We start from the raw sequence: 17588 nt of genomic DNA, 5'->3' as shown, positions 1-17588 counted from the left end.
ATGCCTCCAACTTTGTTTTCCTTTCTCAAGATTGTTTTTGCTATTTGGGGTCTTTTGTGTTTTTTTAAGAGTTTTTTTTTTTCTGTGAAGAATGTCATTGGAATTTTGATAGGGGTTGTGTTGAATCTGTATCATTTTGGATAGTATGTGTAGTTTAAATAGTATTCTTCAAATCTATGAACATGGGATATCTTTCCTTTTTTTGTGTCTTTGGTTTCTTTCATCAATGTTTGATAGTTTTCAGGGTACAGATCTTTATTAGTTAAAATTATTTCTGGGCTGGGCGTGGTGGCTCACGCCTATAATCCCAGCACTATGAGAGTTCGAGGCAGGTGGATCACGAGGTCAGGAATTCAAGACCAGCCTGGCCAAGATGGTGAAACCCCATCTCTACTAAAAATACAAAAATTATCCGGGTATGGTGGCGGGTGCCTGTAATCCTAGCTACTCGGGAGGCTGAGGCAGAGAATTGCTTGAACCTGGCAGGTGGAGGTTGCAGTGAGCCGAGATCGCGCCACTGCACTCCAGCCTGGGCAACAGAGCGAAACTCCATCTCAAAAAAAAAAAAAAGTCTAAATATTTTATTCTTTTGATGGTATTGTAAATGTGATTTTTTTCTTGATTTTTTTTTTGGATAGATTGTTATTGGTGTAAAGAAATGCAACTGATATTTGTATGTTGATTTTGTATCTTACAACTTATTAATTCATTTATTCTAATAATTTTTCTGTGAAGTTGTTAGGGTTATTTATATTGAGGATCATGTCATCTACAAATGGATAATTGTACTTCTTTCTTTCTGATATGATGCCTTTTATTTATTTTTCTTGCCTGATTGCTCTTGCTAGTATCTTTAGTGCTATGTTCAGTGGAAGTATTGAGTGGGCATCCTTGCCTTACACAGATCTTAAAGGAAAAGCTTTCCGTTTTTTCCCCATTAATGATATTAGCTGAGAATGTAGGCTATTCATAAATTGCCTTTATTACATTGAGGAATTTGTCTTCTATATTTATTTTGTTGAGAGTTCTTTTATCATAAAAGGATGTTATGTCATTGCGATGTCTGACTTTAGTATTAGGGTGATGCTGCACTCAGAAAATGAGTTCAGAACTTGTACTTTTTGGCAGAGTTTACGAAGGATTGGTATAAATTCTTTTTTTTTTTTTTTTGAGACAGAGTTTTGCTCTTGTTGCCCAGGCTGGAATGCAATGGTGTGATCTTGGCTCATGCACCCTCCGCCTCTTGGGTTCAAGTGATTCTCCTGCCTTGGCCTCCTGAGTAGCTGTAATTACAGGCGTCTGCCACCAAGCCTGGCTAATTTTTGTATTTTTAGAAGAGATGGGGTTTCACCATGTTGGGCAGGCTGGTCTTAAACTGCTGACCTCAGGTGATCTGCCTGCCTCAGCCTCCCAAAGTGCTAGGATTACAGGCATGAGTCACTGCACCTGGTCAGTATTAATTCTTTGAATATTTGGTAGAATTCAACCATGAAGCCATCTGGTCCTGGGCTTTTCTTTGATGAAAAGTATTTTATTACAACTTTAATATTTTTATTTGTGATTGGTATGTTCAGGTTTTCTAGTCTTGATTCAATCTTTGTAGGTTCTATGTTTCTAGAAATACCCATTTTCTCTAGGTTATCCAATTTGTTGGCATATAATTGATAATAATAGTCCCTTATGGTCCTTTTTATTTCTGTGACATCAGTTGTAATGTCTCCGCTTTCATTTCTGATTTTGAGTCTTCTTTTTTTTCTTTTTTTCTTTTTCTTTTTTTTTTTTTTTTTGAGACGGAGTCTTGCTCTGTCGCTCAGGCTGGAGTGCAGTGGCGCGATCTCGGCTCACTGCAAGCTCCACCTCCCGGGCTCACGCCATTCTCCTGCCTCAGCCTCCGGAATAGCTGGGACTACAGGCGCCCACCACCACGCCCGGAGAATTTTTTTTTGTATTTTTAGTGGAGACAGCGTTTCACCATGTTAGCCAGGATGGTCTCGATCTCCTGACCTCGTGATCCACCCGCCTTGGCCTCCCAAAGTGCTGGGATTACAGGCGTGAGCCACTGCGCCCGGCCGTCTTCTTTTTTTTCTTAGTGTAGCTAAAGGTTTCTCAACTTTTATATTTTTTGAAAAACCAACTTGATTTTGTTGATTTTCTGCAGTTTTTCTATTCTCTCTTTGATTTATTTCTGTCCTGATCTTTATTATTTCCTTCCTTCTGTTAACTTTGGGTTTAGTTTGTTCTTTTTCTAGTACCTTGAGGGGTAAACTTAGGTTATTTGGGATCTTTCTTCTTTTATAATGTAGGCATTTATCACTATAAAATTCCCTTTTAGTAGTGCTTTTGCTACATCCCGTAAGTTTTGATATGTAGTATTTTTGTCTTCATTTGTGTGTATGTATGTATGTATGTATATGTATGTATATATACACACAGGGTCTTGCTATTTTACCCAGGCGGAGCTCAAACTAACAATCCTCCCATCTCAGCCTTCCAAGCGGCTGAGACTACAGGTGTGTACCACCATTCCCAGCTTGAGATATTTTTAAATTTTCTTTTTTTAAAATTCGCATATAAAATTTATTTCCATATAGAAAAATTTATAAGCTAAATATAAAGATTAAACTAAAATAGTGTTTGAAAAGCCCACTACTTCAGTGCTAACAAACTAAATGAAAATAAGGCTATTTTGCATTTTAAATCATAAAAAACTGAAATATATATTAAAATAATTAGATCCCCAGTGTTTGCTCTTTTTTTTATTTTATTTTCTTTCCTGCTACAGCTTCTTTCTTACCTGAGTGTTTGCTCTTCTTCCATCACAGCTATATTGAAGAGCATACTGGTTTGGGTTGACTGGCCTACCTTGGTCATCTCTTATTAATCTAAAAACATCACAAATGTCATGCAGTTTCTGTTTCATTATGTTAATAGCTTTATTACATTGGGCTCACTCTCAAGAGTTTCCTTCTTTGCTTGCAATTTACATACATCATCCTCTAGATTCAAAATTATGTCTAATTTGCATTTGTAACAGTTCTGAGCAGCAACTTTACTTTTCCCTCTTCATCTGATATCACAGATGAGCAAGACTTGTAGGTCTGTCAGATAGTACCTATTTAATGTGCTACTGAAAAAATCAACAGGTGGGCTGGGCACAGTGGCTCATGCCTATAATCCCAGCACTTTGGGAGGCCGAGCTGAGCAGATCACCTGAGGTCAGGAGTTCGAGACCAGCCTGGCCAACATGGTGAAAACCCGTCTCTACTAAAAATACAAAAATTAGCCAGGCGTGGTGGCGGGTGCCTGGACTCTCAGCTACTTGGGAGGCTGAGGCAGAAGAACTGCTTGAACCCAGGAGGTAAAGGTTGCAGTGAGATGACATCACACCACTGCACTCCAGCCTGGGCAAGAGAGCAAGACTCGGTCTCAAAAAAACAAAAAACAGGCATGTGGACAATTTCATCTACAGAAAAAGGGATATGCAAAGCTTTAGCATGCCATTCATCACAGCTCAAGTTTCTATCAGTCACTGAGGTACCTACTCCTTATTTTCTGTGACTTTCCAGGCCTGAAAAAGATTCCGAAGTAGATTCTGGTGCATTTGGCTGTAAGTGATAAGTGTGGTTATAAAATATGTCTTGAAATGCAAGATCCCCATGGAAACCATAATCACTACTATGATCCATGTGATAAAACATACTGGGTTCTGGGTAGCAGCCTCCTACAGCACCTTCTAAGTCATGATGGGAACGAGACTATACTAAAACCCTATAGCAGCTTCACAGAGTGAGAAGAATTAGACCTGGTGATAGAGGTGCTATTGTGACGAGTCTAAAGAAAGGCCAGAATCAGAATCTGGTTCTTCAGAAAGCCGAGAAACATCCAAAGTCCTTGTCTGTGGCTAATGACATTAAGTTTATCAAATACATTTACGGGAAGGTCATATAGTAGGTCTTGGCTTTTTAGATTCGTCATCTGATTGTCAACATGTGGAAGAGATCCTCTCAAATTAGTTCTAGGAAGGGTTTGCCCAGGATTGGTGGTATGAGAATGTAACTGTAGAAATGGTTCTTGTGCCTGTGAAGTGCTTCCTACTGGATCTCCTCGAAATGTATTGTTGGGACACAGCAACATGGCCTCATGAATATTGACATCGTGACTTACAGCCTGGGTAAAGTCTCCATTATAATGTGCTGAAGAAATTCATGCCATCATTGATACTGCCTGGAAAAGGAGGAATATCTCCCGATGAGATCCCTCCAGTGAATTTTCAGGCTATGATGAAAACAACAATCTTCCAGAGAGAAAGAAGTATCTGTCCCATTCAGATGTCTCATTTCTAGGTTCAGTGGTCTTTTCTGCCTCCCGGTCAGGTTTATCTGCTGTTTGTTTTCATCTTCATTGTTCTGCTTTGTAATGAGTTCTTCTGGGTTGACACATTTTCCTCGTGCTGGGAACTGGGAGCCCCAGCTTCATGCTCTTTTCTTAGTGCCTCATTTTTCTCGTTCTTCCCCGCCGGCCCAGGGGCTACTCCGAGCTGCTTGGGGATCCCCGCCGCCCCCACTGTGCAGCCTGGCTGGCGCCGACTCCTCTGGCCAACGTGGCGGTGGCGCCGAGCAGCCCGTGAGCCACGTCTGCATCCTCAGCTGCCACGCTGTGCACCAGCCACGAATCCACTTGGCTGCGGGGGATGCAGGGGACCCCCGAGCGCGCGCACCTCCCGGAGCGGCTGGCCCTTGGTGTGCACCTGGCCCGCTCACCCTCCCGAGGCGGGGAAGGGGCTGAGCGCGGAGGCGGAGCTGGCCGGGCCTTTCGGGAGTAGCAGCTCATCGCGGTAGCAGGGTGGGCGGAGCTGGCAGGGTGGGCGGAGCTGGCAGGGTGGGCGGAGCTGGCAGGGTGGGCGGAGCTGGCAGGGTGGGCGGAGCTGGGTGGGCGGTGGCAGGCAGAGGGTGAGGTCCATTTTCTTATTTCCTTTTTAGTCCAGTGGCTGTTTAGGAGTATGTTATTTAGTTTTCACTATTTGTGAATGTTCCTTTTTTGTGTGTGTGCTGTTACGGATTTCTAATTTCACTCCATGTAGTTGGAAAACATACTTGATATGATTTTGACCTTAAATTTGTTAAGACTTCTGTTGTGGCCTAACGTGATCAATATATCTGGGAGAATGTTTTGTGTGTGCTTAAGAATGTGTAGGCCAGGCTTGGTGGCTCACACCTGTAGTCCCAGCACTGTGAGGCTGAAGGGACAGGATCGCTTGAGGCCAGTTCAAGATTACACTGAGCTCTGATCACACCACTGCAGTCTAGCCTGGGTGGCAGATTGAAATCCTGTATCTTAAAAAAGAAGAATAAGAATAAGAATGAGGAGGAAGAGGAGGAGGAGGGGGAGGGGGAGGAGGAGGGGGAGGAGGAGGAGGAGGAAGAAAAGCAGAATGTGTATTCTGTTGAGTGAAAAGTTCTATTTATGTCTGTTAAGTCCATTTGTTATAGTGTTCAAGTTCACTCCTTACCGATTTTCTGTCTGGACGTTCTGTCTGTTACTGAAAGTGGAGTGTTGAAGTCTCCTACTACTATTGCTGTCAATTTGTACTTTTAGATCTGTCAATATTTGCTTTGTTAGGTGCTTTTAAGTTTGGTGTATATATATTTCTAATTGTTATATCTTGTTGACCCATTTTTTGTTAAATGACCTTCTTTGTGTCTAGTGACAGTTTTTGACTTAAAGTCTGCCTTCTTGGATATGAGTTATAGCAACTTCTGCCTTTTTTGGGTTAACATTTGCATGCAATATCTTTTTTCTTCCCTTCACTTTCAGCCTTTGTGTGTCCTTGAGTCTAAACGAGTTTCTTGTAGACAACATATAAATTTTAAATCTGTTCAGGTACTCTACATCTTTCTTTTGTGGAGTTTATTCCATTTACATTTTTTTGTTTTAAAAAATATTTTTATTTGACAAATTATAATTGTATACATGAATGGGGCACAATGTAATGGTTTGATGTATTATATAATGTGGAATAATTAAGCTAATTAACATACCTATCACCTCATTTTTTTTGTTGTAAGACCTTTAAAATTTATTCTTAGCTATTTTGAAATACATAATGCATTATCATTGACTATAGTTGCCCTACTGTGTGTTAGATCTTATATATTTTTCATCCTAATGGAAACTTTGTACTCTTAGATCATTTATTTGACACTCTGATTCCTTGTTCTCTCCTTCTTCTAACCCCCAGCCTCTGGTAACCACCTTTCTACTCTAGTACTATGAGTTTGACATTTTTTAGATTCCACATATAAGTAAGATCGTGTGGCATTTGTCTTTCTGTGCCTGCCTTATTTTACTTAGCCTGATGTCCTCCAGGTTCATCCACAGTATCACAAATGACAGGATTTTCTTCTTTTTAAAGGCTGAATGATATTCTATTGTTGTATATACCATATTTTCTTTATCCATTCATCTGTTGATGAATATTTAGGTTGAATTCATATCTAGCTATTGCAAATAATGTTGCAATAAACATGGGAGTGCAGATACCTCTTCAGCATGATTTTAATGCATTTATTCCATTCAAATTTAAAGTAATTTTTGGTAAGGAAGGATTTATTCTTGCCATTTTGTTGTTTTATTTGTCTTGTGGTTATTTTATTTCCTTTTTTTTTCTTGCTGTCATTTTGTTTCTTTTTTTTTTTTTTTTTTTTTTTTTGCATTGCTAGGTTTTGATTCCCTTTTTCTTTGTGGTTATCACGGGGCTTACACAGAATATAGTTCTCACAGTCTACTTTAAGCTGATAACTTCCCTCTCATGCAAGAATGCTTTTCTCTCTTCTCTTCCCACATTATGCTATTGATGTCACAATTGTCTACTATTTATATTATGTATCCATTAACATATTTTAGTATTAGTTGTTTTTAATACTTTAACCTTTTTTTTTTTTTTTTTCTGGGATAGAGTTTTCCTTGTTGCCCAGGCTGGAGTGCAATGTCGCAATTTTGGCTCACTGCAACCTCCGCCTCCCGGTTCAGGAGATTCTCCTGCCTCAGCCTCCCAAGTAGCTGGGACTAGAAGTGCCCGCCACCACGCGTGGCTAATTTTTTTGTAATTTTAGTAAAGACGGGGTTTTGCTGTGTTGACTTAAGGTGATCCGCCTGCCTCAGCTTCCCAAAGTGCTGGGATTACAGGTGTGAGCCACCAAGCCTGGCCTAATACTTCAAACTTTTTTTTTTTTTTTTTTTTTTGCTTTTTAAGAGACAGGGTCTTGCTCTGTCACCCAGGCTAGTGGCCTGATCTTGGCTCACTGCAACCTCCACCTCCTACATTCAAGTGATTCTCCTGCCTCAGCTTCCCAAGTAGCTGGGGGATTACAGGTGTGCACTACCACACTCAGCTAATTTTTGTATTCTTTTTAGTAGAGATGGGGTTTTGCCATGTCGGCCAGGCTGGTCTCGAACTCCTGACCTCAAGTGATCCACTCACCTCAGCCTCCCAAAGTGCTGGGATTATAGGTGTGAGCCACCGTGCCTGGCCTAAACTTTCATAGTAAGATTGCAGTCTATTTACTCACCACTGTTGGAATAATAAAAGATTTTTTGCCTGTGTATTTACATCTACCAATGAGTTTTATGCTTTATTTTGCTTTCCTATTGTTGTTCAGCATTCTTTCAGCTTGAAGGACTCCCCATATCATTTCTTATTTCTTGTCAGACAGGTCTAGTGGTGATAAACTCCCTCAGTTTTTGTTTGTCTGAGTAAGTCTTTATAGCCCCTCTTTTTTTTTTTTTTTGGAGTCTCACTCTTGCTGGAGTGTAATGGTGTGATCTCGGGTCACTGCAACCTCCGCCTCCCGAGTTCAAGTGATTCTCCTGCCTCAGCCTCCCAAGTAGCTGGGATTACAGGCACCTGCCACCACGCTCAGCTAATTTTTGTATTTTTAATAGAGATGGGGTTTCACCATGTTGGCTAGGCTGGTCTCGAACTCCTGACCTCAGGTGACCTGCCTGCCTCAGCCTCCCAAAGTGCTGGGATTACAGGCATGAGCCACCCCACCTGGCCCAGCCCCTTGTTTTTTAAGGATAGTTTTGATGGGCATAATATTTTTGGTTGGCAGTTTTCTTCCTTGAGTACTTTGAATGTACTGTTCCACTCCCTTCTGTCCTGCAAGGTTTCTGCTGAAAACGGTTAGTCTAATGTGGATTTCCTTGTATGTACCAAGCTGCCTTTCTCTTGCTGCTTCAAAATTCTTTGTCTTTACCTTTTGTTAGTTTGATTATAATATGTCTCTGTGTAGATCTCTTTGGATTCTTCTTATTTGGCATCCTTTGGGCTTCCTGGATCCAGATTTCTCTTTTCTTCCCCAGTCTTGGGAAGTTTTCAGCCATCTCTTTCTCTCTCTCTCCTCCTAGTACTCCAGTAATGTATAAATTGTTCTCCTTAATGCTTTCCAATAAGTCTTTTAAGTTATCTTTACTCTTTTATTCTATTTTTACTTCTCAGATTGCGTGATTGTGATTGACCTCTTTTCTAGTTCACTGATCCTGTCTTCTTGATCTAGTCTGCTGTTGAATGCTATTGAATTTTTCAGTTCAGTTATTCTTCAGCTCTGCGATTTCTGCTTGATAATTTTAAATATTTCCTATCTCTGTTGAAATTTTCAGTTCAAGAATTGCTCTCTTAATCTTGGTGAACGTCTTTATGACCTATTTCACATTCCCTATCAGGTAAATCACGTATCTTTATTTCCCTAGGTTCTGTTTCTGGAGATTTATCTTGTTCTATTTGTAACATATTTCCCTGTTTCTTCACTTTTCTTGACTTTCTGTGTTGGTTTTTGCACAGTAGGTAAGACAGCCACCTCTTCTAGTCTTGTCACACTGGCCTCATCTGGGAGATGGACCTCACCAACCAGCCCTACCAGATATTCTAATTCTAGATGCCTCTCATATCTTTTTGCTTGTCCAAATTGCTTTGTTCTTCATGGCCCTTTGGATACTAGGGTGTGCCAAGTTCTGTCAGCACCCCAAGATATGTGAGATAGAAGCCAGTCCCTTGAGATGCAGCTTGAAAAGTCGGAGTGCTAGATTTATGTTCCAATTCCTTCTACCTCAGGGAGAAGCTGGGAGCTAGAGTTTATCTCCCACTTACTCTGTCCTAAGCCTGGAAGAGGATCTGTGGCAAATGCCTGCACTTTTATGCAGTCTGCACATTCCGAGTTTCAAAGGAATCCACTGGATGTGCACCCATTTAGCAACCAGCTTTTTTTGTCTTCTGTGTTCTGGGGAGACTCCAGAATACAGAGCCCTGTCAACTCCCAGAGCTAGGTGATTTAGGAATCAGTTCCTCATATGGGAACTGTTAAAATTGGGGCACTTGATGCATACATATACTTTTTCCAGGAAATCTGCAGACCTGGATTTATCACTTAGTTGAGCTGGTGGAGAAGGTACAGGAAGTGCCCATTCTTCCCTAGAGCCTTTCAGAGGTTTATTGTTTATCTGCTCTGTTTGCTCCCAGATACAGGCTAGCCAGAAGCCCGACCCTCAGGCAGTAGCTGGAAAAGTATGCAGACAGACCTCTTTCAGAGAGATACTTGGAGCTGGGCCTCTTAGCTTATTCTCTCTGGACTGATCCTGGGTGGGCTACAGCCACTGGAAGTGCCCTTTAACTCTACAAGTTAGATGAGCTCACAAACAAACTCTTCATTCCTGAGGGAGAAGCTGGGAGTTGGGGGATGCTTCCTGTTTGTAAAGTGCTGTCCCTGTGGTGGGGTTTGTGCACAAAGGTGTCTCAGCTTTTACTACCTGTTTTGATGTGAATATTTTCTCAGTTGCTCAGTGTGTTAGAGTCTTTCAACTAGTTTTTGGCATTCTCTCAGAGGGATTTAATTTGTGCGTAGATGTTTATTTGGTGTGTCTGTGAGAGGAGATGAAGTCAGCATTCTCCTTTTCTGCCATCTTGCTAATGTTTATTGTAATTTTCTTTTTCTTTTCTTTTTTTTTTTTTTTTTTTTTTTGAGACAAGGTCTTGCTCTCTCACCCAGATTGGCATGCAGTGGCATGATCACAGCTCACTGCAGCCTCAATTTCCTGGGCTCAAGCAATTCTCTGGCCTCAGGCTTCCTGAGTAGCTGGGATTACAGGCACACACCACCACACCCAGCGGATTTTAAAAAATTTTTTGTAGAGATGAGGTCTCACTATGTTTCCCAGGCTGGTCTCAAACTCCTGAGCTCAAGTGATCCTACTGCCTTGGCCTCCCAGAGTGTTGGGATTATAGGCATGAGCCACTGTGCCCAGCTTAATTTTCTTTTCTTTTGATGTCTTTGTCTGTCTATATCAGGGTAATGCTGGCCTCATAGAATGAGTTAGTATGTGTTGCCTCCTGTTCTGTTTTGTAGAAGTATTTGATATTAAAATTCCTTAGGCTGGGTGCAGTGGCTCACGCCTCTATTCCCAGCACTTTGGGAAGCTGAGGGAGGGGGATCACCTGAGGTCAGGAGTTTGAGACCAGCCTGGCCAACATGGCAAAACCCCATCTCTACTAAAAATACAAAAATTAGTCAGGCATGGTGGTGCTCACTTGTAATCCCAACTACTTGGGAGGCTGGGGCAGGAAAATTGCTTGAACCCAGGAGGCAGAGGTTGCAGGGAGCCAAGATCATGCCACTGCACTCCAGCGTGGGCAACAGAGCGAGACTCCGTCTCAAAAAAAAAGAAAAATTCTTTAAATGTTTTATGGAATTCATCAGTGAAACCATCTGGTTCTGGACTTTCCTTTGTTGAAAGGTTTTTGATTACTGAGTCAATCTCTCGTTATGTGTCTGTTGAGATTCTCTATTTCTTCTTGAGTCATTTAGGTAGTTTGTGTGTTTCTAGGAATTTGTCTGTTTCATCTAGGTTATTTAATTTGTTGGCATACAATTGTGCATAGTCTTTTCTTATAATCCTTTGTGTTTCTGTATGGTCAGTAGTAATGTCCTCACTTTCACTTCTGACTTTACTCATTTGCCTCTTCTTTTTCCTTAGTCTAGCTAAATGTTTGTTAATTTTGTTGATCATTTCAAAGAACCAATTTATGGTTTCATTGATTCTCTCTATTGGTTTTCTATTCTCTATTATATTTATCTCCAACTGGTAATTTTAAGGAACTCAATTCCAGAACCTCAACTTCTATTTTATTATTTACTATGGCATCATATAAGTTCTTTTCTACCACCCCTTTCTCTCCAGTCCTTCCCCAACCTGGCAAAATAAAGTTGAAACCTTCACTCATCTGAATCTTACTGTGGAGCATTTTCTGGAGTGCAAAAACCTCCAGGATGCCCCCCAAAATGGCCATTTGAAATATTGTAATGTTTTATGCCCTAATCTTACTATAGGGTTTCCTTTTTGCTTTTATCTGTTGAGGGTAAAGCATTGTCAGTCAGGGTTCAACCAAGGAAAGAGGACCAGTAGGAGATAACCATTAAGAAATTTATTGCGGCTGGGCACGGTGACTCACGCTTGTAATCCCAGCACTTTGGGAGGCCTAGGTGGGTGGATCATGAGGTCAGGAGTTTGAGACCAGCCTGGCCAACACAGTGAAACTCCGTCTCTACTAAAAATACAAAAAAATTAGCTGGGCGTGGTGGTGGGCGCCTGTAATGCTAGTTACCCAGGAGGCTGAGGCAGGAGAATTGCTTGAACCCAGGAGGCAGAGGTTGCAGTGAGCTGAGATCATGCCATTGCATTCCAGCCTGAGCGACACAGCGAGACTCTGTCTCAAAAAAAAAAAAAAAAGTCTTTCTGAACAAAATATTGAACCTCATTCGATCTAAGACACCGTCAGCTGTCAAATACACTTTTGTGTCATGTAACACATATAAGGAAGCCAATTAACCTTTAACATTTTAATTTTGTACTTAAAAATTATTTTAGGCTGGGCATGGTGGCTCATGCCTGTAATCCCAGCACCTTGGGAGGCCAAGGTAGGAGGATTGCTTGTGACAAGAAGTTTGAAACCAGCCTGGGCCACATAGGGAGACAGCCTCTCTACAAAAAAAAAAAAAAAAAAATTAACCAGGCAAGATGCACACCTATAGACCCAGCTACTTAAGAAACTGAGGCAGGAGGATTCAGCCCACAAGTTTGACATTGCAGTGAGCTGTGATCACACCACTGCACTCCAGCCTGGGTGACAGAGAAAGACTCTGTCTCTAAAAAAAAAAAAAAAAAAAAAAAAAATTTATTTTAGACTTATTTAGACATAGAATTAATGATGATGAACAGCTGTGGCCAAGTTCACTCATGTGCAGACAATGATAACCATACCACAACTGCTACCTGGCTGATGGTGTCAGATACCATTGATTGTATGATGCACGTGAATTTCAGAGATGTTAAAAAGTGGGGGAAGAAAGTGCATCTTGGCCAGACATGGTGGTTCACGCCTGTAATCCCAGCCCTTTAGGAGCCTGAGGTGGGTGGATCTCCTGAGCTCAGGAGTTCAAGACCAGCCTGGGCAACATGGTGAAACCCTGTCTTTACCTAAGATAAAAAATAAAAAAAGGGTCAGCCGTGGTGGCTCACGCCTGTAATCCTAGCACTTTGGGAGGCCAAGGCAGGCGGATCACGAGGTCAGGAGATTGAGACCATCCTGGCTAACACGGTGAAACCCCGTCTCTACTAAAAATACAAAAAATTAGCCAGGGGTCGTGGCGGGCGCCTGTAGTCCCAGCTACTTGGGAGGCTGAGGCAGGAGAATGGCGTGAACCCGAGAGATGGAGCTTGCAGTGAGCCGAGATCACACCACTGCACTCCAGCCTAGGTGACAGAACGAGACTCCATCTCCAAAACAACAACAACAACAACAACAACATTTTAAAAAGCGCATCTTAAAGTCAATGAAATATGTTTTGCTTCAGCCAATCCCTAGAATATAGAGACTTTATTTTTCTTGATTCAATTACATGTCTTTGATACATGAATTTATGTAAAATAATTTTTGTGTCCCAAGACTTCAGATTTTAAAATGTTTCTAGCTTTAAGAGAAAATATTTTGGCTGAGGCAATGATTTGTTGTTGATTCTTATTTCAGGCAATAGCAGAGGCTCTGTGACTGAGTTGTCAAACATACATATTAAGAATTTGGTTTTTTTCATTTTATCAGACAGAAAAGATGATTAAAAGTTTATGACCCTCCTAGAGAGATGTATGCTGTTTGATTCTTAGCTACAATTTCATAACACTTTAAATTTCTTCTTAGTGTGGCATAAAGAACAATATTTTGGAGTCAAACAGACCGACTTGGATTTATATTCTGGCTTTGCCACTTACTAATGATGTGACTCGGTATGTCACTTCACCTTCCTAGATCTCAGTTTGCTCCTCTGTAAACTCCTCATAGATTAGACAATGTATATAAAGCATAAACTGTTTACCAGAGCAGTTGTTTAGTAAACTGCTGTATCGATGAAAATGATGGTCTATTGGAGTGCTAGGAATACACGATTGGTAGAGCTGGATGGCACGCCAGGCAGTGGGGTTGCTGGAACCTTACCTGGAGTCAGTCTGGAGAGGAAGGATAGTTTTTTAATAGGTCATTCCTCAGGAAATGAAGTGACTTTACTATTAGTCAAAAAGAATTAGTGTTACAAATTGCCGCTAGAGAGAAGGAATAAATTCTAGTGTTCCATAGCACCGTAGGATGACTATAGTTAATAATACATAGTTTCTTTCTTTTTTTTTTTTTTTTTTGAGACAGGGTCTTACTGTATTGGCCAGGCTGGAGTGCAGTGGAGTGATCCTGGCTCACTGCAGCCTAAAACTCTTGGGCTCAGGCAATCCTCCCACCTTAGCCTCCCGAGTAGCTGGGACTACAGGTGGGTGCCACCATGACTGGCTAAATTTTTTAAAAGTAGTTTGTAGAGACAGAGTCTCATAATATTGCCCAGGCTAATATATAGTTTCAAATAGTTAGAAAGAGGATATTGAATGTCCCCAACACGAAGAAACGATAACTGGTTGAAATGATGGATATGCCAGTTACCCTGATTTGATCACTCTACACTGTATTATCAGAATATCACTATGTATCTCTTAAATATGTACAATTATGTCAAATTTTTAAAAAGTGGCCCTGACTCAGATAGATAGATAGATGATAGATAGAATTAGTGCTAATAAACACCATATTGGCCTTTTTTGGGGTTTTGTTTTTGTGTTTTTTTTTTTGAGACGGACACTCACTCTGTTGCCCAGGCTGGAGTGCAGTAACACAATCTCAGCTCACTGCAACCTTTGCCTCCTGGGTTCAAGTGATTCTTCTGCCTCAGCCTCCAGAGTAGCTGGGACTATAGGTGTGCACCTCCGCACCCGGTTAATTTTTGTATTTTTAGTAGAGACAGGTTTTCACCATGTTGGTCAGGGTAGTCTCAAACCCCTTGACCTCAGATGATCCACCCATCTTGGCCTCCCAAAGTGCTGGGATTACAGGCTTGAGCCACTGCGGCTGGCCAATATTGTTGAATGATAACATTATATTAGTCTGGGAGCAGAAGGAAAGGTTGGGACTGCAAAAAGAATGGTTTTTGATCATTTGAGAGGGATTTTGAAATAGGAATTGATTCCTAAAGCTTACGAATGGAAGAGGTCATTTACTCTTCATTCATGAAGTACGTATTGAGCACCTGCTAAATGTCAGGTGTTCTGCTAGGCCCTGGGAACTCGGTGGTGAGGATGCAGACAAGGTCCCTGTCCTTGCGGAGCTTACTTTAGGGTGGGGGTAAGGATACGCAATAAAAAAGGAAACCACTTTAAAGACAAGTTAATGATATAATGATTCTTAGGGTTTTCTGGTAAGGGAAGGTCTCTCTGGGAAGATGACATTTAACTGAGGCCTGATGACAGAGTGATGTTTCTTGTGCTTGAGGTTCATTGAGCTTCTTCTTTTTATCTGTGGATTTATAGTTGGCTCTCTCTCTCTCTGTCTCTCTGTCTCTCTCTCCTTTCTTTCTTCTTTCATTTTATTTTCTTTGTTTTTATAGGGTCTGGCTCTGTTGTCCAGACTGGAGTGCAGTGGTGCGATCTTGGCTCACTGCATGCTGCTTCCTGGGCTCAAGCGATTCTCCTGCTTCAGGCTCCCAAGTAGCTGGGACTACAAGTTCATGCCACCAGGCCTAGCTAATTTTTTAAATTTTTTGTAGAGATGAGGTTTCACTATGTTGCTCAGGCTTGTCTTAAACTCCTGGGCTCAAGTGATCCTCCAGCCTCAGCCTCCCAGAGTGCTAGGATTACAGATGTGAGCCAACGCACCTGGCTGGGTTTATAGTTTTCATCAAATTTGGAAATGACGTGGCCATTATTTTCTCCCCTCTCCTTTGGACATTCCAATTACACATATATTAGGCCACTTAAAGTCCTACAGCTTACTGCTCTTTTTTTTCCTCTTTTTTTTTGGATAGTTCTATTGTTATGACTGTGTCTTAATCTTCACTAATCTTTGTCCTTTGTAGTGTTTAACCTGCCTTTAGTCCCATCCAGTGTATTTTTCATCTAAAATGTTTTAGGTTTCATCTCTAGAATTTCAACTTCGGACTTCAACAAATGTTTTCCAGGCAGGCCCAGTGGGCGGCTCACACCTGTAATCTAGCACTTTGGGAGGCAGAGGTAGGCAGATCACCTGAGGGCAGGAGTTTGAGAACAGCCTGGTCAACATCTACTAAAGCATGGCCGGGATCTTTGGGATGTCAGTTTTCTTCCCAGAAACCTCTGCAGGCCATGGCACCTTTGCCTGAGTTCTTGTCCTGTCTGTGTCCAGGAAGAGCAGACAAGTGAAGGGTGACCAATTGTCTGAGTTCTTGTCCAGCGTTCAGCAAAGTGAAGGGTGAACATGAAGATGAGCTTTATCAAGTATTACAACAACTCAGCAAATGAAAATGAGCTTTATTAAGTGTTACAGTAGCTCAGAGGAGACCTGCAGGGGGTAGCTCCTCTCTATAGGCAGGTCATCCACCAAGTGTTCAGTTCTCAGCAGAGAGGAGGCCCTGGAGAGGGTAGCTCCTCTGTGCAACTGGTTGTCCCAGATATCTGCAGTTCTCAGTGGAGAGGAGGCCCTGGAAAGGGTGCCTCTTCTGTGCGGTCAGGTAGTCACTAAAGCTCTCAGCAGAGAGGGTAGCTCCTCTCTGCAGGTGGTTGTCCCATCCTCTCCAGCTCTCAGCAGACAGGGTACTCCTCTCTGCAGCTGATCATCCTGTTGTCTCTCTGCCCCCTTCATCCTCTGGCTGTCTGCTGCCCTGCTCTGGCTGAGCCCAGGGCCTTTATGGACCTCAGAGGGGAGGAAGTGTGTGCCCATTGGTCCATGGGTGTCATGGGCCGCCATAGGCCAGCAGGAAAAGGCAGCAAAAGTCCCCACTCCAGTCCATTGGACTGGCAGCCCAGTCCCCAGCCTTCTGGCCCTCCCTGGTTGAAGATGGGGACTTCCTGGGGACCTGCCTCTTCTGCCCAGGACTCTGTCTGTCTCCTGCTGCCATTCATGGCCCTGGGGCTGGGCCCCAACCCCACTCTGAGATGAGAGCAGGCGCCAGGAGCCAAGAGAGGCCAGGCAGTGGGAGCGGAAACCTCTGAGCCTGCAGAGATGGGCGGAGGGTCCTTCCTGGGGCCTTGGAGGGTGCAGGCTGCAGAGATGTCCGGTCCTGCACCTGGGAGGGCAGCCACAGCTGCACCCTGGAGCTCCCATCCCGCCAACTCGGAAGGCTCACGCTTGTCCCCCAGCTCCTGCCTCCTCTGTAGAGTGGGAGGCCCAGGTCTGCAGCCACAGGTCCGCTGCACCTGGGAGGGTAGATCTTGCCTGTTCCTGCGCTCCCCCCACACCCCGCCCCCACAAGAGCACAGGTAGGCTCGGATCCACAGCTGTAGTTTGGGAGGGCAGGGCTCCTGGCCTGCTCCGTAGGTCAGGACGTCTGGGTCTGCAGCTGGGGTTTGGCTGGCTGCAGTTGCACCCGGGGAGCTCCTGGCTCCAACTTAGCAGGGGCGGGGCTCCCTCAGGCTCCATGGAGTGTGTAGCCCCTGCTGCAGCCTGCGTGATTACAGCAGCCACTACCTTTAGCGGTGCAGGCCTGTAGTCCCAGCCACTTGGGAGACTGAGGCAGGAAAATTGCTTGAACCTGGGAGGTGGAGGTTGCAGTGAGCCGAGATTGCACCACCACACTCCAGACTGGGCGACAGAATGAGACTGTATCTCAAAAAAATAAAAATAAATAAAAAATTTAAAAGTAAAAATGTGTTCCATGTCTCTGCTTAACATCTACTTTTTCTCTAGTTATCTGGATGCTGGGGCCATCAGAGGGTTCACCTCATTTTCTCGTCACTTCTCATGCCTCACTGTCCGCATCACCCATGTCCAGTGTCTTGAGCAGTGATCTTTCCTATATCCTGTCCAGATCCTTGGTTGTTACCTTAGGAGGGTAAATCTAGTCCTGCTTTATCTTGGCTGAATGTAGGAGTACCCCACCTTTATTATTTAGCTCATATTTATATTTACTGTAAGGTTTTAAAATGTGCAAGTAGGCTACATATTGATTTTAATGAGTTGCTGTTAATAAAAAAACTCT

General features: G+C 42.8%; 1 pseudogene, besides 6 other annotated features; it reads right to left on the bottom strand.

Annotated features, from left to right (window-relative positions):
* Positions 2555–5398, bottom strand: LOC100130180 (NFE2 like bZIP transcription factor 3 pseudogene; annotated as a pseudogene).
* Positions 4389–4468: an enhancer, noted in NCBI's record as "active region_10776". NCBI's record gives its function as "activates an Ori minimal core promoter by ATAC-STARR-seq in GM12878 lymphoblastoid cells {active_cell/tissue: GM12878}" and the evidence as "EXISTENCE:reporter gene assay evidence [ECO:0000049][PMID:35858748]".
* Positions 4479–4528: an enhancer, noted in NCBI's record as "active region_10775". NCBI's record gives its function as "activates an Ori minimal core promoter by ATAC-STARR-seq in GM12878 lymphoblastoid cells {active_cell/tissue: GM12878}" and the evidence as "EXISTENCE:reporter gene assay evidence [ECO:0000049][PMID:35858748]".
* Positions 4679–4728: a silencer, noted in NCBI's record as "silent region_7434". NCBI's record gives its function as "represses an Ori minimal core promoter by ATAC-STARR-seq in GM12878 lymphoblastoid cells {active_cell/tissue: GM12878}" and the evidence as "EXISTENCE:reporter gene assay evidence [ECO:0000049][PMID:35858748]".
* Positions 6681–6730: an enhancer, noted in NCBI's record as "active region_10774". NCBI's record gives its function as "activates an Ori minimal core promoter by ATAC-STARR-seq in GM12878 lymphoblastoid cells {active_cell/tissue: GM12878}" and the evidence as "EXISTENCE:reporter gene assay evidence [ECO:0000049][PMID:35858748]".
* Positions 16201–16716: an enhancer, noted in NCBI's record as "H3K27ac-H3K4me1 hESC enhancer chr16:46812051-46812566 (GRCh37/hg19 assembly coordinates)". NCBI's record gives its function as "activates a minimal SCP1, AML or CMV promoter by ChIP-STARR-seq in primed H9 embryonic stem cells {active_cell/tissue: H9 hESC(primed)}" and the evidence as "EXISTENCE:reporter gene assay evidence [ECO:0000049][PMID:30033119]".
* Positions 16717–17232: an enhancer, noted in NCBI's record as "H3K27ac-H3K4me1 hESC enhancer chr16:46811535-46812050 (GRCh37/hg19 assembly coordinates)". NCBI's record gives its function as "activates a minimal SCP1, AML or CMV promoter by ChIP-STARR-seq in primed H9 embryonic stem cells {active_cell/tissue: H9 hESC(primed)}" and the evidence as "EXISTENCE:reporter gene assay evidence [ECO:0000049][PMID:30033119]".

The sequence above is a fragment of the Homo sapiens genome, chromosome 16 (genome assembly GCF_000001405.40).
Source record: "Homo sapiens chromosome 16, GRCh38.p14 Primary Assembly".
Lineage (NCBI taxonomy): Eukaryota > Metazoa > Chordata > Mammalia > Primates > Hominidae > Homo > Homo sapiens.
Note: the sequence above shows the minus strand (reverse complement) of the source record. Positions and strands in the feature narration are given on the sequence as shown.